General features: G+C 42.6%; 1 protein-coding gene and 1 long non-coding RNA gene across 14 annotated transcripts in view; one reads left to right on the plus strand and one right to left on the minus strand.

The window, feature by feature from the left end:
- Positions 1-25,325, plus strand: part of DPP6 (dipeptidyl peptidase like 6) — a 1,146,153-nt gene that overhangs the window by 860,937 nt on the left and 259,891 nt on the right. Inside the window, exon 1 of one of the 13 annotated variants that reach the window (XM_017011812.3) lies at positions 15,957-16,127. The exons of the other annotated variants lie outside the window; for them this stretch is intronic. Within the exon in view, the coding sequence (XP_016867301.1) occupies positions 16,125-16,127 (3 nt within the window). The 5' untranslated portion in view covers positions 15,957-16,124. Of the gene's footprint in view, positions 1-15,956; positions 16,128-25,325 lie in introns of those variants that run through there. 13 annotated transcript variants of the gene reach the window in all.
- LOC105375581 (uncharacterized) lies at positions 5,877-15,800 on the minus strand. Its single transcript, XR_007060600.1, has 4 exons — positions 15,726-15,800; positions 13,329-13,474; positions 7,682-7,736; positions 5,877-5,955 (listed from the first exon to the last, which is right to left on the minus strand). It is a non-coding gene; the product is annotated as an uncharacterized LOC105375581 (long non-coding RNA).

Consider the following 25,325-nt stretch of genomic DNA (forward strand, 5'->3'; position numbering starts at 1 on the left):
GCTGCCCCACTAGCTGCCCAGACTTTCGCCAAAACTCAAATGTTCTCATCGTGAATTTATCTTCACTTCTGGCATCTAGATATTTCCCTTATTTCGCACTTTACGTATTCTCGAACAGTTTCGTTATGTTGTATCCATGTGTACGTAATAGGAGGGTATTCTCTGTTAACTTAAAACAGCATGTTGCAGGAACCCAGTACTATCTTTCTTTGCATTGCCCATGCAAGTGAGCCCTGCAATATAACCATCTTGTCTGCTGAGACTTTCTTACACATTTTCAGAGTATTTTCTAAAGAAGTCATCACATCTAAGATGCAAGCTTACAAGCGAGTTCACTAGGGGATTTACTCTGTAGACATGTTGATTTTGATCTAAATTTAATGCCCTTGTTTCTACAACTGTATTTGTTTACTCTTTTGTGCCTGTGGTATAATACACTATCTTATACTCTCAAGCATTTCAATACCTCTTCCAGTGTTTCTAGATCACTCTGTCTCTCTCATTCACACACACATGCACATGCACACACATATACTTTTACACATGCATGCACACACATACATGAGCACACACACATTTACATACATGCTCACACACAGCACACAGTGGGACAGTCTGTTCACAAACACTACAGAACAAACTTCCTTGTCTGTAGGAAGATATGTGTGCACCTGGCCTCTTTGCTGTTCTTACGACTTGCCCTTCCCAAGTTATTTCTACTTTACCTCTGTGGTTCGTTTGATAGAATTTCCAGTTAATGTATTATAAGTTATAATATGCCTTTTCTGGAATAAATCTTTGCTTTCAATAGATCCATTCACTCCTTTCCAGAAATGATCGCTGCTTTTTATATTCTCCTTGGAAAAACAAAAGCACCTGCCTTGACCCTTGTCTTCAATATCACATATAACCATACAAAACTAAAAACAATCCATTCATTTATTCCTTTGGTTAATAGATTTTTGTTGGGCAGCTATCATGTTGTATGCGGTGTGTTAGATGCTGGGTATGTTCTATGAAACAAAATAGTCTCTGACCCCTGGAAGAGAAAGAAAGAAAGAATATCCCTCGCCTTACCTTTCTTGACCCATAGTCCAACTGAAGAGAGAAGACGTCTGTTAATTAACTAACAATATTAAGTAGCAAATTCTGAGTACCAAATGAGTGGTATTGAGATCAGCTGCCTATTTGTGGGCTGATATGGTTCCAAATGGCTTCACTTGACAGCCTTGAAATTGAGTCTTGAAAAGGGTGCAGAAATCTAGGTAAAAAATATCGATGGGGAGGCATTTCAGGTGGGAGAAGGAAATGAAGAAAGACCCTGAGGTGTTACATGGGGTCAAAAGAAAGGATGATTCAAAGCAAGGAGAGAGCAGAGAAGAGTTGGGCTGAAAATTGAATTTCCTACCACTTGTAGGTACCAAGTTGTGACAATGAGCTTGTCATTTCTTGCAGCACCTGTCTTATGTAGCTAAAAGTCTCTTTGAGTTCTGCAATGGCATATTGCTTCTACGGCCAACATTCTGTCTTTGATAGTGAGGTCTTACATTAGCATTAAATCAAATGTTATATTGAACCTTGAGTAAAATCTCTTCCAATTTATGTTTTTTTTTTATTATTTGTGTCTGTGTTGTTCTCTGTGTGTGTGTGTGTGTGTGTGTGTGTGTGTGTGTGTGATTGTGCACCTGTATTTGCGTTTCTCATCTGGAAAATTCTCTTATTCTTTTCCCAGGGTTTGCACTGATTTTCACCCTTATTCACTCATCTGAAATATCCTTTTTCAGTTTAATCCCAGCATTTTATGTGGTGCTAGACTTTGGCTTATTGGATTGTAATTTCCAACTTCTAACCTCTCACCTTTGTAAGACATTGACACTGAATCATCTTTCCTCACTCTCAGTATAAATGGTATTTTAACTCCAAGCTGGCTGCCTGTTAAATTCATTTACTGTGCTAGAGTGTATCTGGTAACTTGCCTGTGATGAATTTGTGTCCATTATTACATTATAGATGGTTTCATGCAGCCATCTCTGCAAAGGGCCTAATTATAGCTGTGATGGCCAAAACTACTTGTTACCTCGTGTCTTCTGACTCATGTGACTTGTACATGTTTTGACAATGAACAGTTCTACCCTCCACCATGGTTAGATAAGGTGGAATCTTTTTGATAGGAGACCTATATTAGTTCAGATAAATGATGTTGCTTGTTACGTACGAACACACATCACTTTATCTCGTTAGCTTGGGAAATGGATACGGGCAGAGTGTATTATTCATTTTATATCTAGTGCTGAGAGAGGGGCACTTCACACAAAATAGTGGTTCAGCAAATGTTTGTGGGATGCCAAAAAAGCCCCCACAACAAAAAGTGGACCTCTTTGGTTATCCAAGAGAGATGTTTTGTCTTTTGGTTCTAGAAATTTTTTCTTGCTTCCTCATCTCTCATAGACATCCTAGAGGAGTGTGTGCATGTGTGTGTGTGTAATATTAAGCAACCAGCCATTCTTTACCAATAGAAGATATCCTTGTTTCTAACAATGAGACTTCTTCTAATAGTGCTAACACTTTATCTCATGTATGTTATTTATTTTTTGAAGATATAGCTTTGCATTTTGGAATAATTGGAGACTCACATGCAATTTTAAGAAATAATACACAAAGATCCCATGTACTCTTTGCCCAGCTTCCCCTAAAGTTAACATCTTGCACAACTATAGTACAATATCAAAACCAAGATGTTGACATCAACTAATCTTATTTAGATTTCTCCATTTTGCTTTCATATATGTGTGTGTGTGTGTGTGTGTGTGGTGTATGGGTGTATTTAGTTCTGTGCAATCTTATTATATGTGTAGGTTTGTGTAATAGCACCTGCTGTGGTTTGAATGTGTTCTTACAAAAACATGTGTTGGAAATTTAATCTCCACTGCAATAGTGCTGGGAGGTACAGCCCAATGAAAGGTGTTTAGGCCATGGATTGATACTGATTACAAAAACAGCTTGAGTCTGTGAGCTTGCTGTCTTGCCCTTCTGCCTTCCTCCAGAGACCCTTGACAGATGTGGGCCCCTTGATCTTAAGCTTTCCAGCCTCCAGACCTGCGAGCCAATAGATCTCTGTTCATTACAAATTACTGAGACTGTGATATCCTGTTTTAGCAGCACAAAAAGGACTAAGACACCACCATAGTCAAGATACAGAGCAGTTCTGTCATGAGGACCCCTCGTGATACTCTGACAGCCACAGCCACTCCTTCCCTCCCTAACCCCTGACAACCATCAATCTATTGACCGTCTCTAATAATGTCATTTCAAGAATGTTATATAAACAGATTTATAAAATATGTAACCTTGTAAGATTGGCTTTTTCTGTTTAGCATAACTCCTGAGATCCACCCAAGCTGTTCATGTATCCATAGCGGGTTCCTTTTTATTGCGGAGTAATATTCCATGGTATTGGTGTAACAGTTTAACCATTCACTCATTTATGGATATCTGGGTTTATTCCAGTTTTGGGCTATTACAAAGGAAGCTTCTATAAACATTCAAGTATGGTATGTGAGTGTAAGTTTTCATTTCTCTGGGATTCTTGTCTATGAATTCAACTGCTGGGTTGCGTGGTGATTGGAAGTTTAGTTTATTAAAGAAACAGTCACTGTTTCCCAGAAAGACTATGCCATTTTCCATTCCCACCAGCAATATGTGACTCAGTTTCCCTCTGTCCTCATCAACATGTGGTGTTTTCATTATCTTGTATTTTAGGCATTCTAATAGGACTTGTCTTATTGGGCTTATTGTCTTATTTGGGCTACTGTAACAAATTACCATAGACTGAGTAGCTTCACAGAAGTTTATTTTTCACAGTTCAGGGGAAAGTTTAAGATCTGGGTGCTGGCATGGTCCATTTCTGGTGAGGTCCACCTTCTAGGCTGCAAACTTCTGACTTCTTGTTGTAGCCTCATGTGGTGAAGAGCAGAGAGGAGAAACAAGCTCTCTCGTTACTATAATGAGGGCACTAATCTCATTCATGAGAGCTCTGCCCTTATGACTTAATCTAATCCTCATTACCTCCTGAAGTCCACAGCTCCTTATCCATCAGGGGGTAAGGTTTCAACATATGAATTCTGGGGTACACAGACATTCTGTTCATAACAGGTATGTAATGACATTTACTTTCTAAATGGTATTTGAATGTTGTTTTGTTTATTGAATAACCATAAACCAAGGAGTTAAGGGTTGCAGATGCTGTAAACCTTATTTAACAGATGAAGCAGGCTGGGTGCTGTGGCTCACGTATAATCCCAGCATTTTGGGTGGCTGAGGCAGGCAGATCACCTGAGGTCGGGAGTTTGAAACCAGCCTGACCAACATGGTGAAACCCCGTCTCTACTGAAAATACAAAATTAGCCAGGCATGGTGGTGCATGCCTGTAATCCCAGCTACTCGGGAGGCTGAGGCAGGAGAATCGCTTGAACCCAGGAGGCAGAGGTTGTGGTCAGCAGAGATCGTGCAATTGCACTCCAGCCTGGGCAACAAGAGCGAGACTCTGTCTCAAAAAAAAAAAAAAAAAAAAAAAAAAAAAAAAAAGTAGATGAAGCAAGTTGCTCAAATCAGACACTTGTTTGAGTCACAAAATAATCAATGGTAGAGCTTTGTCTGCAACCCTACATTACTCCCTCATTGTTTTATGTTGTCCTGATTAAATTGAGCTTCTAACTGATAATAAAATCTATTATTCCCAAAATTGGGCCACCCATTCCCCAAACGTCCTACCTTCATTCTAGAATGTCAAACACAAGCCACAGCTGAGCAGCAGGACCTCCATCAGCATGCAACCACATGGCCAGCCACGCCCTGCGCCAAGCCTCCAGATGGAGAGGATTTGGTGGGAAATCATTTCTGCTGCTTTCCGCATTCCGCATACAGTGTCTTCTTTTAACATGGCCTCTTGAGAGCCACTCTCCAGCGGCAGCACGGCCAGCCTCTGTGCCTCCACTCTCCACCCCACCTTGCCCATCCACAGCTGTCTTCCCTTTCTCTTCTCTCTTTGCAGCTATTCTCCCTTCCCAATCCAGCACAGCAGTGTGGCTCTCCTTCCTGTACACTGGTCTCCTATTTTCCCTTCTCTCATCACATAAATCAGGCTCACATAGGGTTAGCTTGCGTTAGCTTCTTTTAACTGGTTGTTCTGTTGGTTTTAATTTTCCTATTTTTGGGATTGGTTTAATTATGGGAGGAGTTAGAGGCTATTTTAATGAAATAATTATGGAATTAGCCTAGGTTTTTTGAAAGAAAGAGGAAGGAAAGGTGTGTTCCATTCTGTTTGCATTTTTTCTTCTGTATCAAGCTTTGATGTAGCTTTTTTTCCAGGCAGAATTTAGGTGCAAATGGAAAGGTCTCAATCTGACTCAAGTCAGAGTACTGTGTGTGGTTGTTCTCAATGGTTTATTAGGTTTTATAGCTCTGTTTTCTTTTCTTGACAAAGTTATCTCACCTTTGCTTGAAAACCATGTTTCTCTGAACTATTTGGTGGTTTCATGATTGCTTGTGCTTAAATTAATGTCAGCAGCAAGGCAATCAGTAGAAACTTCAAGTTTAAATTCTCCTGAAAGCTAACTTTAAATGTTAATGTTTCATTTAATTGAAGCATTCTGAGATATTAGCATTAACCATTTAGAGCACTTTTATTAGATAAACGGAAGAAGGGAGAAGGCCTAATTATTGTAAGTCATTTCTGTTAGACATTTATAGAGAACTTGCCTTTGATGAGAAAATTGCAAAAGAGGCCAAGTATGTCAAATGTTGTTGTCTTCCAATTCCCATTTCAATGTGCAAACTAATCATTCACTTCCCTCATGGGACCGCTGTGAGTTTAACTGGGCAAATACATGTGGAGTCCATGGGTGAATCTTTCATTCAGTGCAGGCTACGTTGGGCGCTGTGGTCAGCTGGAGGCCCCTATTTGACAAGAGACGGTCAGAACTTAGTGTGTGTTTTCTGGGGCTGTTTTGATTTTCCTGTACAGGAGAGTTTTGCAGGGAGGCATATTGGGCTGGAAATCAAAAGGCCGTGGTTCTTGCCCATCTTTATCATGGGTAGATTTCTGGAGCCAGAACCAGAGCCAAATAACTTCCTGACCTGCAAAATGAGGAGGCCTGGAAGATTATCCTAACGAGCCTCTTTGCTCTGTAGTTCCAGCAATTATATGTATTCTGTGAAAAGCCAATAACGTGCAATTCCTGATAGTGAAATAACTCTGGAGCCCATGAACTCATGCTTCATAGGCCAGCCCTACAGATTAGGAAATGGGTTTCTTCCTAGGGTTTTTATTCACCGTACAATACTTTCACATTTTCTTTCCAAATGACTATTAATCACATATTGAATTTTAAAATATTATAATCCATTTTCCCTCCAGTTTTTGTGGAAAAAAATGTATACACATAACGTTTATTATTTTAACCATCCGTAAGTAAGTATACGATTCAGTGGCATTAAACACATTCACAACGTTGTATAACCATCACCACTATCTATACACAAAACTTTTTCATCACCCGCAACAGATCCCAATGCCTTTTCAACATTAAATACTGACTTCCCCTTCCCACTGTTACCATTCACAATGTTGTGTAACCATCACCACTATCTATACACAAAACTTTTTCATCATCCACAACAGAAACTCTGTCCCCGTTAAATACTAACTCCCCTTTCCTACTCTTACCATTCACAATGTTGTGTAACCATCACCACTATCTATACACAAAACTTTTTCATCATCCACAACAGAAACCCTGTCCTCATTAAACACTGACTCCCGCTTCCCACTCTTCCCAGCCCTGGTAAGTCTCCCTCTGCCTGAATTCCCCAGGAGTTTGCCTATTCCAGGTACCTCGTACAGTGTCTATCTTTCTGCATCTGGTGTATTGCTCTTAGCATAATTACTCCCCCTCCAGTTTTAGGAGAAGCTTCTTCCCAAGGAGATTTTTGATAAGAACAGGAGGCGGCCAGCTCAGCTTCCTGGGATGATTTGGGTACAGCCCCACCCAGATGTCTCTAATTTGGCGTTATCAGAGTCAGTCACCCCACTGAAAAGCCCGCCTACCCATGAGCTTGGGAAGCCCTACATTTACAGGATGGTCAGCTGTCCCCATGCCCAGGAGTGGTTCTGTCTGGAGCTGATTCACAGCTCCATCCCCTAGAAACTGTAATTCAACAGGTCTTGGGTAAGATTTAGGGATCTGCATTCTAAAGACAGATTCCATTGATCCCAGTGCCTTTTCAACAGTGAACACTGTCTTCTGCAAACAGCTCACAATTGTCCATGAAATTTTGAGCTTAAGGAAGTTCTAACGCCCCCCTCCCCTCCTTTATTTTTGAGTTGAAAGAGGGTAGAATCAAAAACAATACTGAGAGGGGTCTAAAAATGCAAACACAGAGAGTTGCTGGTTTAGGAGGGCTGGGAGGCTATGGGAGACCATAGGCATAGAGAAAACATTCCTTCTCTGTGACTCTCGGGCGCGAGCGAATCCCCAAGGGGGTCACCAGAGAATCATTTCCTCTTTGGGAATACAACATGAGATGGTTCTTTCATCTGGACCTAGGTTCAATTAAGTAAATAGAGCAAATACAAATAAGAGAAGAAAAGCAGCACAAACAGTGAAACTAGGTCTTTACATACCTAAGGAGGAGCCGTGAGCATTCGCCTCCAGGGAACCACAGTGACGGGAAACATGCTGGAATGTTAAACGTTCCATCTCATTTGTAGGAAGCAGATGCCTACATCTTCAAATTTTGTCTTCTTAAAAATATTATTTTATCCAGATAAAAATCTATAACCTCTAGCAAAGAAAAAACAACAGCTGCAAGTTGGAGATCATGAACTGTCTTTCCAAAGAATCTCCACGTGTAGCTGATGTCAGATGCCATCAGCAGTCAGCCTTCATCACCCCAACGCCAAGTATTTGTTCAGTTTCTGCTCCATATGAATGCATCTTGGATAGAATGTGTTTGGTTTGGCTTTTAAGAAGGCTCACTGACTTAGCCCATGACCTAAAGCATATACTTACCAAGCCTTGGAATTCCTACAGAGGGCCCTGCACTTTGTGTTTGGTACAGAGACCAAAAATACAAACCCAGCTTTGAGGACAGAAGGGCAGGGAAGCAGGCTCTTTATGCTGTGAGTCTCTCACTCCACCCCATGGTCCACTCTGGAAGCAGAAGAAGTTTCTTTGGGGATATAAAATGTATTGTTGGCAATTGTTTTTGTGTGCAGTTAAGGATCCTGGAATTACAGCATCTAATGTTCTAACTCTACTGCCATATCCATCTTAGGAATAGAAATGCAATTGCAAATGGCAATTTGAGGTAAGCAATCCGATTGTGCGAATAGGTCATATCAGATGGCCAGGAATCAAGGGTCATCTAATGAGACTCACTGACCACAACTGAAATCAGCCACCAGACTCTATTTTCTCTCTGACAATTGTGATATGGAGCAAAGAACTTCACCTCCCACCACCATCCCTGCCCGTTGGTGACTGCTCGTGAACATTTGGTTGATGGATGGACAAATGTATGTGTGAACAAATAAATTAATAAATATGTAAGAGTATTGGTTACTGGAGTATGTATTACTAGAGAAATAAGCAAAGACCTGCTCCATACCCTTCCCCCAAGAAAATAGCAAATCATTCTCAGTTGGAAGACTAAAGAGAAATGCTAGAGTCCAGGCCAATGGAAAACAAGTTAAAGACAGAAGGTTTAGTAGCACTGGAAAACCCAGGAGGACAAAGATTCTCCAGGTCATCGGGAGGCGTCGTGCTTTTTTTCATGGGAAAGAAAACTTGACCCAGAGTGGCTTCATTAAAGAAGGGAGAGGGACTTCATAAGTGACCAGTCGAGAGCTAGGCCATAGGGGCTGCAGACCCGGGACTCAAACGATGTGCAAAGGCCTCAGTTTCTCTCTTGGTCTCTCCCACAATGCTGTCTGCTCACACAGGCTTTCCCCCTTTGCACTGTTGCTGGTTGCATTCTCGCTCTTTCCCCCATAAGGCTATTAAAGTTGCTGCTGGAAGGTTCCAGAGCTGTATGATCCCGGAATTGTACCCTGTGAAAAAGCATAGCTGCTTTTCTCACAGAGTAAAGAGGTCCAGCCCTGAGTTATTTTGCCCCTAATGGGTTTCCAGGGTCGTGTCCTTTCCCAACCCCTGAGGAAGCTCAGCAGAGATGCTTCAGGATGAGATTAGGCTCACTGAGCGGGTGAACGGAGCTGTTTGAACTGAGGTCTCAGGGAGACCAGCCCTCTAACTGCAGCGAGCTGGATTTCAGACCCTTCCTGTGCACACACACTGTTGCTTGCCCAGACATGCTTCCCCTTTGTCTTGTTAGACCATTGATTTCCTTTAGAAGATCAAAATCAGGGTGCAGGTAGGAGCCTTAGACAATTTCTAGTTTGACTCTCATCATATTTTTAATATAGCCCTGCATTTTCCTCATATGAAAGCAGAAACCCACAGAGTTTATGATGTGCTCAGAGCCACGCACAGGATCGCTAGAAGCCGGGGCCACAGCCCAGCTTCCACCCTCCTGATGGGGACCATATCCATGTGCTGCTCTTACATGTACTGAAAACTCAGCACATGCCTACTAAATGCTCTGTAGGCTTTATCTCATTTTAACTTCACTTACTCATGTAATCTCAGCACTATTATCATCTGCATGTCACAGAGGAGGGAGCTGAGATGCAGAGTATGTTTGTGACTTGCCCAGAGTTACACACTGATATGGTTTAGCTGTGTCCCCACCCAAATCTCATCTTGAATTGTAGCTCCCATTATCCCTACATGTTGTAGGAGGGACCTGGTAGGAGGTAACTGAATCATGGGGGCAGGTTTTTCCCATGCTGTTCTCGTGAGAGTAAATGAGTCTTACAAGATCTGATGGTTTTATAAAGGGCAGTTCCCCTCCACACATTCTCCTGCCTGCTGCCATGTAAGATGTGACTTTGCTCCTCATTTGCCTTCAGCCATGATGATGAGGCCTCCCCAGCCATGTGGAACTGTGACTCCATTAAACCTCCTTTCCTTGTAAATTACCCGGTCTCAGGTATATCTTTATTAGCAGGGTGAGAACAGACTAATACGCACATACCATCGATTGGCACAGCATAGGCACTCCATGTTCATGACTCCAAAGGGTACCATCTACCACCTGTTAACTGCCTACTAGTATCTTCAAATCAACGTAAGCCTCGTAGCGTTACCTATTGCTGCCTTGTCCTAAGCAATCATGTTAATGGTATCTAGGTTGGATGAGCTACTTATATCTTTTCAATTATACAGGAAAAACAATGGAAAATTGTGATAATGAAAAGAATGTTTGCTCACAAACCACTGAAGATGGCTTCACCTGCCACCAGTGATATGTGAACACACTTATGAAACTCTCACCTATATTACACAGCCAGGGAGGCTAGTGTATTTGTGGCTGATGAGGGATCAATAAGCTTATAGCATAACAATACAGGTAAAAATTTGTGAAAGAGCCCTGGTCACCTTCAGGGATGGAATTGACAGCAGAAAGCCCACAGCACCAAGGTTAAGTACTTTGTTTTGTGTGTATTTATGTGCAGAAACATAGATGTGTATATGTGTAGATATACAACCACATTATACGTTATACTTAGAAGTGCGGGTTGCATACGCCACTGCACATTAGAATCACTATACAGAATCCAGCAAATCAGATTCTCTGATGGTGGGGCCTCAACATCAGTACTTTTTTAAAAAGTCCCAGGTGATGTCTAAGTGGAGCCAGGTTTGCAAACCAGGTACCTAGGATAGAGGTTTTCAACTCTTGGTGTGCTCACAGAGAAGCACTTGAAGTATCTGCACAGCTTTGTCAAAATGCAGATTCAAAGCCTCAAAGATTCTGATGCAGGTAATCTGGGGTGGCCCAGGAATCCGCACATTTCACAAGCACGTTGAATGATTCTGATGCAAGTGAAGGGTCTGAGGACCACGCCTTGAAAGCTCTGCACAGACCCCAGCTCCTCTAGAGGACTTGCATTGCCATCTGGTGAGGACTGAAGACCCACATTAGCTAATTACATCAGTATTTTTAACTCTGGGAAAATGTAAAAAGAATTTAGCACCCAGTGTAAATATGGAAAGATTCTTTCTTAAATGTTCAGTAGAGGACCCTGAGCATATGGTGACTATATAGTCAGTAGCGACTGATCACTTTTTAATGTCAGTTTCATCGTAATCATACGGCTTCCGAATGCCACACATTAAAATGTTAGGTCCTTTTCTTCCCAACCCAGGATTAAAATTCATCTCAAAGGCAAAACATACTGTGATTTCTCAAATGTTTTTGGAACTGTCAAAACCAGAGGATATATTTAGAGGCCTTTAATGTAGAACACAAAATTTCACTACACGCAGAATTGCCAATTAGGATGGGAGGCTCAGAAATGATCTTAATGACACAAGTGTGCAGTGTTTTTTTCCTTCTGCATTACATGAATAATTTCAAGGGTGTTTTCACTCTGAATGAGTTTTTTTTCCTCCATTTGGCACTGCCTGTGGAGTCCTCTCTATAGCAGAGGTGATGTTACGAGCTGTAACGACGTCCCCGTCAGCAAGTAGCACATGCTTTTCCATTAGTTATACTTCCATACCTTCGTTTGCAGTTTTGTTTTTACATACAGGATTGAAACAAATACCAGATAGTACTTTTCCAAATTGTTTTGGTGGACTCCTCCCCATCCACAGCGGCAGACAACTCACATTAAATATGAAGCTTTCACCACATACAATCAGAGGCCTATCAAAATAGCTTCAAACTTCAAATTAATGCCATTTTAGGATCACTGATGCTTTTCTTTAGAATGCCATACACTTGAAATCTTCTAAGACTACAAGAACTGTATGGACATTTATAGCTGAAAAGAAAACCTATTTTTAGAACTCAGAGCTGAAACCCTACCTCAATACTACCCCTATGTTTTCAAGAGTTCCTGTTTCCCAATGCTAGTCAACTCTGAACCTGAATTTTAAAAATTATTTCCTCTCTGTTTCCTCCCTATCTGAGAAGTCATTTATTTGATGGTTTTAGCTTCTACTGGCAACTACGACATGATTTGGAAGCCTGCTAAGAATGAGTCTATAATATGTTTATGTCATGTATTAAAAATCTCCACGGTCTTATAACTTAATATAACCCTATGTGTAATTAGTTGACCGAGAGTCCTTTTCAACATTGATTTTGATATATGATTTCTAATTTATTTGTTTATTTACTTATTTATTTTTGAGACAGAATCTCACTCTGTCGCCCAGGCTAGAGGGCAGTGGTGCAATCTCAGCTCACTGCAACCTCCGCCTCCTGGGTTCAAGCGATTCTCCTGCCTCAGCCTCCCAAGTAGCTGGGATTACAGGCTCATGCCACCACACCCAGCTAATTTTTGTATTTTTAGTAGAGACGGTTTCGCCATGTTGGCCAGGCTGGTCTTGAACCCCTGACCTCAGGTGATCCGCCCACCTTGGCCTCCCAAAGTGCTAAGATTAGAGGCATGAGCTACCGCACCAGGCCTCTAATTTTTAAGGTTTTAATTCTAGGCCGTAATTTTTTCTCTTCCAACATGATAAAAAGGGTCTTCCCATGCCCTTCTCTTGGTTTCTCTTCCCTCCTCATGCCTACCGTTTATCTGTTTCCATGACCTCCCTGCCCACCTCAAGTCAGGTGGCACTTCAACCTGCTGGCAAACAGTGCCACCCAACACTGGCACATGAGTCCATAGAATGTCTGGGAAAAGAGGCTTGTCGTACCATGTGATGTAAAGTACTAACTGTGCAAACGTGCGGCACTCAACAATTTTAGGAGCTTTGTGATTCCTTCTTAATGATGTGCTTAATATATTTCCCCCAATGATTGCTTATTTTCTCTGGTTTTACCCTCCTTTATCAGGTCCTTATTGAATTTCTTCTTTTCCTAGTTAAACTGGAAAAGTAACTTATTACTCTGCCAGGCAGTAGGATCACTCACCAAGAGACGGTAATGAGGGAGACCACATAGCCCAGTTGGTCTGGTGATGCCTGTTTTCCCAACATAGTTATTAATAGCACCACTTTCACTTTGCCACTTTGGATGGCAAATGATATAGCGACAATGGCACTACATTTGCTACTGGCAGCTCAAGAAGATGTTACAGAGGCTGGTTTTGACGGAATCACATATGCCAGATATGTGGCATATGTGGAAATAGATGGGAATTATGCTGGAAATAGGTGGAGGCCCAATTGACCCTGCTTGCTCCTGTTTACCTGTAGCCTCTGCTTTTCTGCTTCAGCCTGGAATTGTCACAGAATATCCCAGACCTCCTAGTCTGTACAGGGTCTGGTTGGACAAGACCCACTGGCTTTTTAGAATTACTCCGGAAGTCCTGGCTTGCTGATCAGAAGACTTGATTCTTCCAGAAAGAGGTAGCCAAGGAGACAGAAAACAAGCTGGAATCAGAGCAAGAAAGACTATGTCTACCAAACATCCCCGTCTCTTCCTACTCTAACTGTAGATACACGTGGATACCATAGCAGCATGAATGAGACCAACACCATCGAATGACCATTAAATGAATGGTCATTCGTTTATGGGGAAGCAGTACTGCAGGGATTATGAGGTCTTATGGTTTAAAGTACAGCACACATGGACCACGGTCCCAGCCAGGGCAGCCTGCTGTGGGAATCTCTCTCAGCAGATTTTTGCCTGTTAGATTCCAGAACCTTCTCTGGTCACTTTCATCCAATCTAATTGTCTGTCTTACCCAAGAAGGGATTTGTTACAAGGGACTTGGTGGATTAAGCTAAAGCAATCTTAAATGCAGAATGCCAGGTTTCTGATACAGATAATCAATTTCAGTTGCTGCAGAAAACTCTGTTGGGGGTGATGGAGAGAATGCACTTTGTGGACCCGTCTGGATTGTCTCCTAGTCTTGTATCCAGGTGGCACTGAGCCTCATCAGTGGGGTCCACTCTGTTATTTCCTGGCCTTTACTTGGTGAGATAAACCCTTCATGTTCAGCAGCCTTGTAACAGTTTGCAGAAAAGTCTCCAGCCTTTGCTTATGTGTTGGGTGCAAGTCTACTGATACATCCTGAGGGTGTATGCTGTTGCCGGTGCGTTGCACTAAATGCCTGCTACTGAAAATATGCCCAGGGAATATTTCTCTTTATATCTGTGGAACTTTGTCCATCGCTGTGCTGGAAACAAACTATTCCCTGGGCAGTCAGTGGTGCGCTTTTAATTCTGGCCTGTGTGGTGGCAGTGGGAGGGGCGGTGCCTTTTGCTGCGTCGGGAACCTCTTGATCCCACCAGGGTGAGCTGAAAGACCTTGAATATGATACTTCAAATAATAAAAATGTATGTGTCACCTTGGATCTGCCCAGAAAAGGGGAGAGGATTTTACAAACACACACACACGCACACACGCAACACGCACACACACACGCACGCACACGCGCACACACACGCTGACACACACGCACGTACACGCGCACACATGCGTGCACACACGCGCACACACGCGCACACACACGCACACACACACGCACATGCACACACAGAGTCATTCAGGAAAAACAACAACAGAAAACAATTTAGCACATTTTTGGTGCTCTGAAAATATAAATTGGGATTTTATCTACCAATATTACCATTTATCAAGTTATAACTATGTATAGCATTTAATTGATATAAATACACACAGCATAAACTTACCCCAAAGTATTTATGCTTTAAAAATTTATTTACAAATAATCTGGGAGAAAAAGGTTTATTTCAAAACTATATAGAGGGCTGGGCATGGTATAATCCCAGCACTTTCGGAGGCCAAGGCAGGTGGATCACTTGAGGTGAGGAATTCGAGACCAGCCTGGCCGACATGGTGAAACCCCATCTCTACTAAAAATACAAAAATTAGGCCGGGTGTAGTGGCTCACGCCAGTAATCCCAGCATTTGGAGAGGCCAAGGCGGGTGGATCATGAGATCAGGAGTTCAAGACCAGCCTGGCCAAAATGGTGAAACCCTGTCTCTACTAAAAATACAAAAATCAGCCAGACGTGGTGGCGGGTGCCTATAAATCCAGCTACTTGGGAGGCTGAGGCAGAGAATTGCTTGAACCCGGGAGGCAGAGGTTGCAGTGAGCCAAGATCACGTCACTGCACTCCAGCCAGGGCGACAGAGTGAGACTCCATCTTAAAAAAAAAAAAAAAATCAGCTTGGTGTGGTGGTAGGTGCCTATAATCCCAGCTACTCAGAAGGCTGAGGCAGGAAAATCACTTGTACCCAGGAGACAGAGATTGCGCCGCTGCCTTCCAACCTGGGCAACAAGAGTGAAACTCTGTCTCAACAAACAAACAAACAAACAAAAAATATATGCAGAGAAGAGAGTACTTAGGAGCACAGTGGGAGGGTGAGATGTCAGGGCTCAGCATCTGCTTCCGAAGTTGTCACCAGGCATTTGTTCAGGGCATGTGGGCACTAAGAGGATGACCCCGTGGTGGTCAGGTACCTTGCTGCTCTGCACACAAACAATAGAAAGCAATGGAGCCCTTGTTAGAAACACATATTTCTAAGCTCCAAGCCTGGAGCCTAGGAAACAGTGTCTCCCAGGAAGAAACCTGTTAATCTGCACCATGTCAGGGACCCCACCCCAGGATTCTTACCAGTAGTGATGGGTGAGAAACACTGGCTATGCTAACAGAAGCAGGCACACAGCGGCCCCGTCTTCCTCCCATCTGTGAGCATGCTTCAGGGCTGAGCATATGACCAACATTTTACATTTCAGAGTTGGCTCCCACCTTAACACACACAACAATGTGGACACCACCATAAACTGTGACATCACCATCACCCGGACACCAGTGGGATTTATGTTGTGTGGATTAATGGCCAGTGGATAAATATACAGCAATACCAAGGGGCAGGTCAACAGCTTAAAGATTAGGAGAAAACAATGAGTCAGAAACTGAGCAGGTAATCATCAGAGCATCCGTGAATAATCTGACAGACTCCTCAGTCTTCCACATGTGCACGTGGGGCAGAATGTTGACATCCAAGTGGGCATGGTAAGCAGCTGATGAAAAGTTAAGGATGGAAACTTTAGGCTTGAAAGTCAGCAAAGTGAAGCTGACTTGCCAAGAATAAACTAAGCAGCTATGTGGCATCATGCAGATACACACACAGACACTTTTTTTTTTTTAAGATAGAAGGAGAAACAGCAGGAGAGGGAAGAAGTGGAAAGAAAGATGCTGACTTGACTGGACTCTTCACTGCTAACCTTTGGTGAAGGATAAGTTTAGACACAGGCTGCCTACATGCAAGCATAGAGATATTTCTAGTGTGCCTTCTTATAAAGGAAGCACAGGTAGATGTTTGTCTTTGTATGGTTGTAATTAAGCGCCAAATGATGTCCTCCATTCCCTTAGTGACCTAGGAAGAGAACCAGCTGTGCAGCACCATCTCTTTGTCTGTTTTTGGAAGTGAGCCCAATGCACTTGACCCTCAGTGCTATGAGGGACCAGGGGGCTGACAGGTGAAATACAGCAGGGAAGGCTGCAAAGAAGCCCCAAGCTGCTGCGGGCAGGGTGTGTGCAAGGCGCACGGTACAGACAGACCCACCCTGTGTTTGTGGGGCAAGCCCCCTGTGCCTTTCCCCCTCTGTTGCCTCTTTCAGCTGCCCTCAGTCCTTCCCACAATTCATCCCATCTCCCAGCACCTGTTTTGGATTTGGAGCCAGTATATGCAGGAGAGAAAAAGAAGACAGTAAATCGAGCAAGAAAAAGGAAAATGTTGTATTCTGGAGCAGAATTACGAATGAGTCAGCAGCAAGGTCTGACAAAACAAAATACAAAGGCAGTAAAGTAGGAGGTTGGCTGCCAGGCTGGTGTGAAGCTCGGATACCTGTTTCTCAGTGGCCGCCAGTAGAAGACAGGGATATGACAAGCTTGGGAAGAAAGCAGGCATGCTGGTGTGCATCCTGGAAAATTAGTTAGGAGGAAATTCTCATGGGTTTCTTCCTTTGAATTTCCTCCTAGCAATGCTATGGCTGATTTCATTTGTTTCCCAGAAGATGAGCTGAAGACACATAGGAGCAGCTATTGGAATTGAAATGTCCAAGTGGAGACTGAAGGAAATATATATTTTGTAATTACTCAGCTATTTCTGGATGTCACAGATGTTTTTGAAACGCATATTTGGAAACACAGTTGAAATCACAAGTGAAATTTTTATTGTTCATCTCCTAAATGTAAGCTTTTTATTTTATTTAGAGGCATCCTCGGTTTTAATCATCTTGTTATACTTAGATGTTCTCCTCTTAACGACTCATTGCAAAAAGAAGGCATTCTATGTGAAGGGTACAGAGAATGCGAGAAACATTCTCTATCAATGACCTGAACAACTAGGGATTGATCAGAAAAGAAGGAACTAAGGTATAATAGCGTTGGGTGTGGTATGGAAGTAGAAGTCGTTTGAGATACATATTTGAAGAAGCTACAGGTTCAAGAAGAACTCACCATTTCTACTCTCTTAAATGTAAGTTTTGTGAAAGACCAGTGACTACTATAAGTTAGTTTATTCCAGGAGGAGAGAAAGAGCTGAGATATAAATACTGAATCCTAAGGATTTGTCCATTATTTTTGTGTTTGGAATCTGACAACTGTATGTCTTCTATATTTTAACCCTTGTATAAATGGTTGCAGTAAATTGCCTAGAGCAGTGAAGGAAAGATGTGCAGCCAAGGGAAAGATCAAGAACCTTCGGTTTACATGGAGCTATTTCCTAATATTTGTTTTATGTCATATGAGCTAAACATCTTTACCTTTTACTAAATATTTCAAATTTTATCTGGGGTCCATTAGAAATTTTTTCTTTTTTTTTTTTTTTTTTTTTTTTTTTTTTTGAGACAGAGTCTCACTCTGTCACCAGGCTGGAGTTCAGTGGCTCAATCTTGGCTCACTGCAAGCTCCGCCTCCCAGGTTCAAGCTATTTTCCTGCCTCAGCCTCCCAAATAGCTGGAACTACAGGCACCCACCACCACGCCTGGCTAATTTTTTTTCCTTTTTTTTTTTTTTTTTTTTGAGATGGAGTCTCGCTCGCTCTGTCGCCCAAGCTGGAGTGCAGTGGCGCGATCTCGGCTTACTGCAAGCTCTGCCTCCCGGGTTTTCGCCATTATCCTGCCTTAGCCTCCCAAGTAGCTGGGACTACAGGCCCCTGCCACCATGTCCAGCTAATTTTTTTTTGTATTTTTAGTAGAGACGGGGTTTCACCATGTTGGCCAGGCTGGTCTCGATCTCTTGACCTCGTGATCCACCTGCCTCGGCCTCCCAAAGTGCTGGGATTACAGACGTGAGCCACCACGCCCGGCCTTTTTTCCTTTTAAGTCATTATAACAAGACGTTTAACTTCATGCAAATGGTATAAAATATATTGGCAAGGAGTGCAGAAATGTTTGCCAAATATGGTCATTAATATGGGGGTGACTACGACCTGCTTGAGAGAAGAGAAGGGAAGACTTCTCTAGGGAGGACTGATTCATTCAGGAAGTTTTCCATCATCCTTCAACTTCCGCATCAGGACTTACAGTTCACTGGACCATCAGCCACAGGAGTGGGCCCAGACACCAGACAAGAAGTCAGAAGTTTTGGCAAGATGCCGGGTCTTTGGGTGAGTGCCCAGTGAGAGGTACAAATGCAACAGGAGTCTGACGCCATGGAGGGATGTGACTTCTGCAGAATCTTGGGAAGGGGGCAGTGTGGGTTTTGCATGTGGGAGGGACTTAAATAACTTTTATCACAGCCAAATGTGACATGCTAAGGCCTGAATGCATTTATTCATGGTTCAGGCAGCTGTAGCCAACAACAAGAAGCAGTTAAAGTTATGTACCCACTGAGAGCAGATAGCGGGGAGGCAGAGGTCAGCACCTGCTTGCCTGGGAGCTGCAGGGTTTCTGAGCGGGAAGGAATGTTAGTGGTTGCTGGTTCCATCTCACCAATTCCTGCATTCCTGCATTCTGAATGCACCAACAAATGGCTTCCATCCTTCTATTAACAGGGGCTGTTGAGCCTTTTCAGTGTTGAAGTATTTCAGACTACCAAAAGACAGTTTCATGGTTCTGAAATCTATTTCCTTCTAATGTGTACTTGTCAGCCTTATTCTTCCCATGGAAGCAAAAGAGACCAGGCCTACTGACATGCATGTACTCATGAAGTTCTCTAAAACCTTAAAGACATCTATCCCTCTCCCCCGGGTCGTCTCTTGTCTGTGCAGAATACTTCCACTTGCTCCAAGCATCTCTCAGGTAGCTTTGTTTCCAGACTCAGCCAACCTGGTCATCTTCTCTGGAGTATTTTGGCTTATTGGTCTCACCACTAGAAAAAAGTGACACCCTCAACTGGACCTGTTACTTCAAATGTTAAGGGAGAAGGTTTTAGACAAGATAGGACAACATGTCTTCCCAGAAAGACCTTATGAGCTGGGTAGCTCTTGTCTCCGCCCACATTATTAGAGATGAGCTCGTTTATTTTAACTATCCAAAGAAGGATCTGGGTGGAAAATGGGGAAAGTCTGCTTCTGCCTCCCCTGCCCTGAATGCCCACCTGATAATTAGCCCTTCCACAAAGCGAGTCCCCAGGGGCTTCCTGGAAGCACAGCAGCTGCTACATCGTGCAGGACCATGACAGTGGATGGAATTAATTACTAAAACCAGCCAAGACCAAGATTAAGGAAGATACCATGTAAATGTGGCAATTCGCGAAGTATTTCTGAAAAATGAGGCATCTGTTTCCTGGTCTCACCTCTCCTCATGTCAGGTGAAAGGTGTGGCGGGGAATGGGGGCTGTAATTCAGACTTAACTGTTTGATTGATCTTCTCGGACTCCTCAAGGTTATCAGAGTAAAAAAAGGAATATGTACAGGACATTGCTTTCATGAAGTGTCTGTCACAGTCCACAAAACCTCGGCTTGGATTGTGAAAGCAGATTGTTTTCTGTCTCCTAGGGGACTGTCTATTGTGTTAATTTCCAGATATGGATATGACTGTGCCATCTAGCACCTAACGGAACTTCTTTTTTATCTGTTAATGATGGAACACTTCAAAATTGCAAGAAAATAAACCCTTTGAGTAAACACTTCATTTTCTCATTTTCCTCAGTTTTAGAGCCAAGAAATAGAATATTTTCCAGCTTCTTTTTGGTGCTTTTATTTTTTTCCTTCAGGTTTTACTTTTTTTCCCTTCTCACCCCTGACATCTCATGCAGATAACTTTCCTTTTTTTTCTCTTTTTTACCACCCAGTCTCTAAATCTCACTTTCTTTTCTCTGTCTCATCTGCCTTTTCTCTGTGTTAACTTTTCCAGTATTTTCAGCCTTGCTTCTCATTATGTTACTATATTGTGTTTCTTTAACTGTGTATGCCAGCCATGGGGTTCTTGATTCTAGCTTAAGAAAATCTGACTCTGGGCTCATCTACACCTCCTGTTATTTTTCACTTCCTCTTTGAATGGAATTGTAGGATTAAATAAGGAAAGGACTGTGGAGGTCCCCTGAAGCAATTTTCCTGCAATGCATGCACCCATTCCAGAGGACTCCAGTGGTGCTTCGAGCCCCTGCTCATATGCTATCCATGCTGGGGAGCTCACCACCTCAGGGAGACCATCCATCCTCATACATGCTCTAAGTGGACTGCACTAATGCTGACCAGACACCCAGTCCAAAATCCTGGGTAACAATCTCAGTCATTGAAGGCAGCTGCAACTCTGCCATTCTTAATGGGATTCCGGTTTGCCAAGAGCCCCAGAGAGTAGAAAAGTAAGAGTTTCGTGGACTCTACACAATGCTGGTAACTAGATCATGCAATTCTCAGAATTTAGAAAAGAGTGTTTTTTATTCCTTTCTTGTGATTTGAATTTCCTCACAACCCTTAGCCCTGTATTACACAAAAGGAAACTGAGGCTCAGATAAGCAACTTGTGCAAGTTCACCCAGCAAGTGAATAACAGGCTCAGATGACCTCTGCGCCTTACTCTAAAACTGCCTAATAGTAGTAGCTGTGTCCTACTCCAGAGCTACACCTAGCCACCCTCTTCTGCTGGCCTCAGCCTGGTGCATTGTTAGGAAGGGAATATCTGAGGTGATGTGGAGGAGGGAGGGGAGCACAGGCAGGCCAGACAGGGGCAACTTTGGCTACTCCAGCATCCCAAACTAGGGCCGTGCTAGAGGGTAGAAAACGTGGTGTAAATTTAAGGGGCATTCTCAAGTTACAAAGTCAAGTGAAACTTGGTAATCATGTTTACATGGACAGTAAGGAAAATAAGCAAGGGGAATGGCTGATGCGAATTCCAATATTTTTCTGTGGAAAGACCAGGTACATGGAAGGAAACAGAGAATTCTTTAGCAGAAAAAGAATGTATCTCTCTAATGCCCAGTGATGATGAGCTTTTTTTCATGTTTGTTGGCTGCATAAATGTCTATGCAGCCATAAAACAAATGAGTTCATGTCCTTTGCAGGGACATGGATGAAGCTGGAAGCCATCATTCTCAGCAAACTAACACAAGAACAGAAAACCAAACACCACATGTTCTCATTCATAAGTGGGAGTTGAACAATAAGAACACATGGACACCGGGAGGGGAACATCACACACTGGGGCCTGTCGGGGGATGGGAGGCAAGGGGAGGGAGAGCATTAGGACAAATCCCTAATGCATGCAGGGCTTAAAACCTAGATGACAGATTGATGGGTACAGCAAACCAGCATGGCACATGTATACCTATGTAACAAACCTGCACATTCTGTACATGTCCCAGAACTTAAAGTAAAATTTAAAAATAAAATAATAAAAAATTTCACCTAAAAAAAAGAATGTATTTCATTTTCAAAATATTGAATTTGGGGTTAAAGTTTGGCATAAAAACATCCATGTGGAAAGGTCCAGCCCAAGCTAAAAATATAAGTTTAGAACTCAGAAGATACATGAAGCATAAAGACGTAAATTCAGTAGGAAGCTGTGTCAGAAAGCAGAAATGATGGGGACCTGCCAGACCAAGGCTTAGACCAGTGAGGAAGGAGCCCCTGGGATGGCAGGTTGGTGCCTGCCTTCCATTCGGGTCTGCAGCAGCAGGAGAGAAAGGTGAAGAGCCTGGATGGAGGGGCAGGAGGCGAAGGAGAGCAGGTCCTGGAATCAGGAAAGGGGAACAGCTCCTGTTGCCTTCATCACGTGCTGCAGGCTGGAAATCAGAAAGATGCCACGTGTTTGGTAGATAAGGGTTAGCTGGGAGAACTCATTTTGAGAATGCTAGGAGTATATTGCAGTGGGTTAAAAGTGAATAGAAAGTGAGCCAGTGAAGCAGTGTAGACTTTGCTTGTGAAGGGCCATGATAGTTACAAGAAGGAGGCTGGGTGCAGTGTCTCATGCCTGTAATCCAAGCATTTGGGAGGCCGAGGCAGGAGAATCACTTGAGCATGGGAGGCAGTGGTTGCGGTGAGCCAAGATTGCACCACTGCACTCCAGCCTGGGCAACAGAACGAGACTCTGTCTCAAGAAAAAAAAAAAAAGGAAGGAGCAGTTCCAAGGGAATATGGCCAGAGGTTTTTTGTTTGTTTTGTTTGTTTGTTTGTTTTCAATGAGGGAGATTTGAGTTATATTCTACAGAATTAGAAGAAGTAATAGGGGAGAATGAGTGGTTAGAAATGTAAGGCACAGTGGAGAAGTTGTTAAAGTTCAACAAGAAGCAGGAGGGTATGAGCTTAGTCTTGCAAAGGAAGATGGCAGTTTCAAAACGTCAGCCGGATTCAATTTAAAGCTTAATTAAGCAGTGAACAATTTGCAAATTGGGCAGCCTCCTGAGCCACAATAGGCTCTGAGACTCCAGTGCAGCCCCATGGTGGTAGAAGATTTATGGACAGAAAAAGGAAAGTGATGTACAGAAAACAGAAGTGAGGGACAGAAACAGCTGGATTCGTTACAGCTCAGCATTCACCTTATTTGAACATGCTTCAAACAATTGGCTACGTTTGATTAGCCAAAACTTGGTGATTGGCGCAAGAGTAGGTTATGGTCTGTTTACACCTCCACTGGTTATAATTCACAATGTGCAGAGAAACCTTTAGGCTGAACTTAAAACATGTAAGGAGGCAGCTTTAGGCTAAACGTGACTTAACGGTAGCTTCTTTGTAGGAGAGGAAGGATGGAGGAGAGGCCTGACTTAGGGCACTTGACCTAGGAAGGAAGAGTAGAAGATGGATTTGAGAAAGACTTAGAAAGTTACTGATTAGAAATTGGGCGCTATTTGATTGAATTGGAGTAGGGGAAGCAAGGGGTCAAAGAATGGAGGGAAGGAAAACTACATTTTCAACTCAGCTTACTGAGTGCATGATGGAGCTACCAACTGAGATAGGGATTATCAAAAGGGAGCAAGGTTTGGGGGCTGCTGAAGAGTTTATTCTGGAGCAAATTGAGTTTTTGGTGCCTGTGAGACATAGGATGCAGTCATCTGATATATTGGTCTGTAGCTGGACCTGTGGGAGTTACTGATATTTAGGTAATTTAGGTTACGGTTTAAAATCTCAAGAATGGAAGATTTCATAGGGGAGGAGGATGTAAAGGGAGTAGATGAGTGGCCAAAGAAAAAACTCAGTGTCCACGATGGTACAGAGAAAGAAAAGACCTTAGAAATCTAAAGTATGGGTCCATCGGAGAGAAGGAGGGGAGAGGGTAGAAATTTCCTGACTAGAGGGAAATTTTAGAGAGATAAGAAGCAGACCAAATATGAACTCACCCTGTGACAAATCCTCAACTGCTTTCTAAAAAATTATTGAATGCCAATGTCAACTATTTTGTGTGTAATATATTAAAAAAATAATTTGCTGAAACTGTTTTTCCATCTTGTGGATAGTGTTTTGGGAAATAAGTTCTCCTTTATTCATTTTCCAGGAGAGATATTAATGTAATGCTATAGGATGAGACTAAAATAACTCATATTCATGAACTTCTAAAAAATGGCACTCTTAGAAAAATAACTGAAAGCAGCCTTACTAATTTCCAATCTTTGTATTTTTTATGATCAGAAATATTTAGTCTATTTTATTTTTTATTTTTATTTTTATTTATTTATTCATTTAGTTTTTGAGATGAAGTCTCGCTCTGTGGCCCAGGCTGAAGTGCAAGGGCATGACCTCAGTTCACTGCAACCTCCGCCTCCTGGGTTCAAGTGATTCTTCCACCTCAGCCTCCGGAGTAGCTGCGATTACAGGCACCCGCCATCCTGCCTGGCTAATTTTTGTATTTTTGTAGAGATGGAGTTTCACCATGTTGACTAGGCTGGTCTTGAACTCCTGACCTCAGGTGATCCACCCGCCTCAGCCTCCCAAAGTGCTGGGATTACAGGCGTGAGCCACCACTCCTGGCCTAGAGTCTATTATTTTAAAGAAAGAAACATAAATACAACATTGACCACAGAAAAAGAAAAAGACTTTATCTCTCTAAGGAACAAATTCTTTCAGTGAGATGCAGCTTTCTTAGTGCCTTTCTAGATAAAACATTGTACAAATGAAAACGCTTCAATTTGCACTCTTTAAACAGTCATTCCCTTTGTGCCTGCAGTTCTTTTGGCTTGATGTTGAGGAAGATTTTGTGGAAGACAATGATATTTTATTGCTTCATCTTGGAGCAAGGAGAAAATTGTTTCTCTTCTTCCCACTTCCCCATTTTTTAAGAGTAGTGCTCGAGTCACACTTGCACTTCCACGCTGAAGCCTTCTATTTGTATCAACAGTGTGTTCTGGAATGCCACTTTCACATTCCCACACTTGGCAGACCCAGCTTCTCAGGTTTTCTCTATTTCTTGACTTTATTCATTTTTGTTTCAGCCTTTCTTTTTTTTTTCTTTTTTTTTTTTAATTATACTTTAAGTTTTAGGGTACATGTGCACAACATGCAGGTTTATATCATATGTATACATGTGCCATGTTGGTGTGCTGCACCCATTAACTTGTCATTTACATTAGGTATATCTCCTAATGCTATCCCTCCCCCCTCCCCCCACCCCACAACAGTCCCTGGTGTGTGATTTTCCCCTTCCTGAGTCCATGTGTTCTCATTGTTCAATTCCCACCTATGAGTCAGAACATGCGGTGTTTGGTTTTTTGTCCTTGCGCTAGTTTGCTGAGAATGATGGTTTCCACCTTCATCCATGTCCCTACAAAGGACATGAACTCATCATTTTTTATGGCTGCATAGTATTCCATGGTGTATATGTGCCACATTTTC

This window comes from Homo sapiens, chromosome 7 (assembly GCF_000001405.40).
Source record: "Homo sapiens chromosome 7, GRCh38.p14 Primary Assembly".
Lineage (NCBI taxonomy): Eukaryota > Metazoa > Chordata > Mammalia > Primates > Hominidae > Homo > Homo sapiens.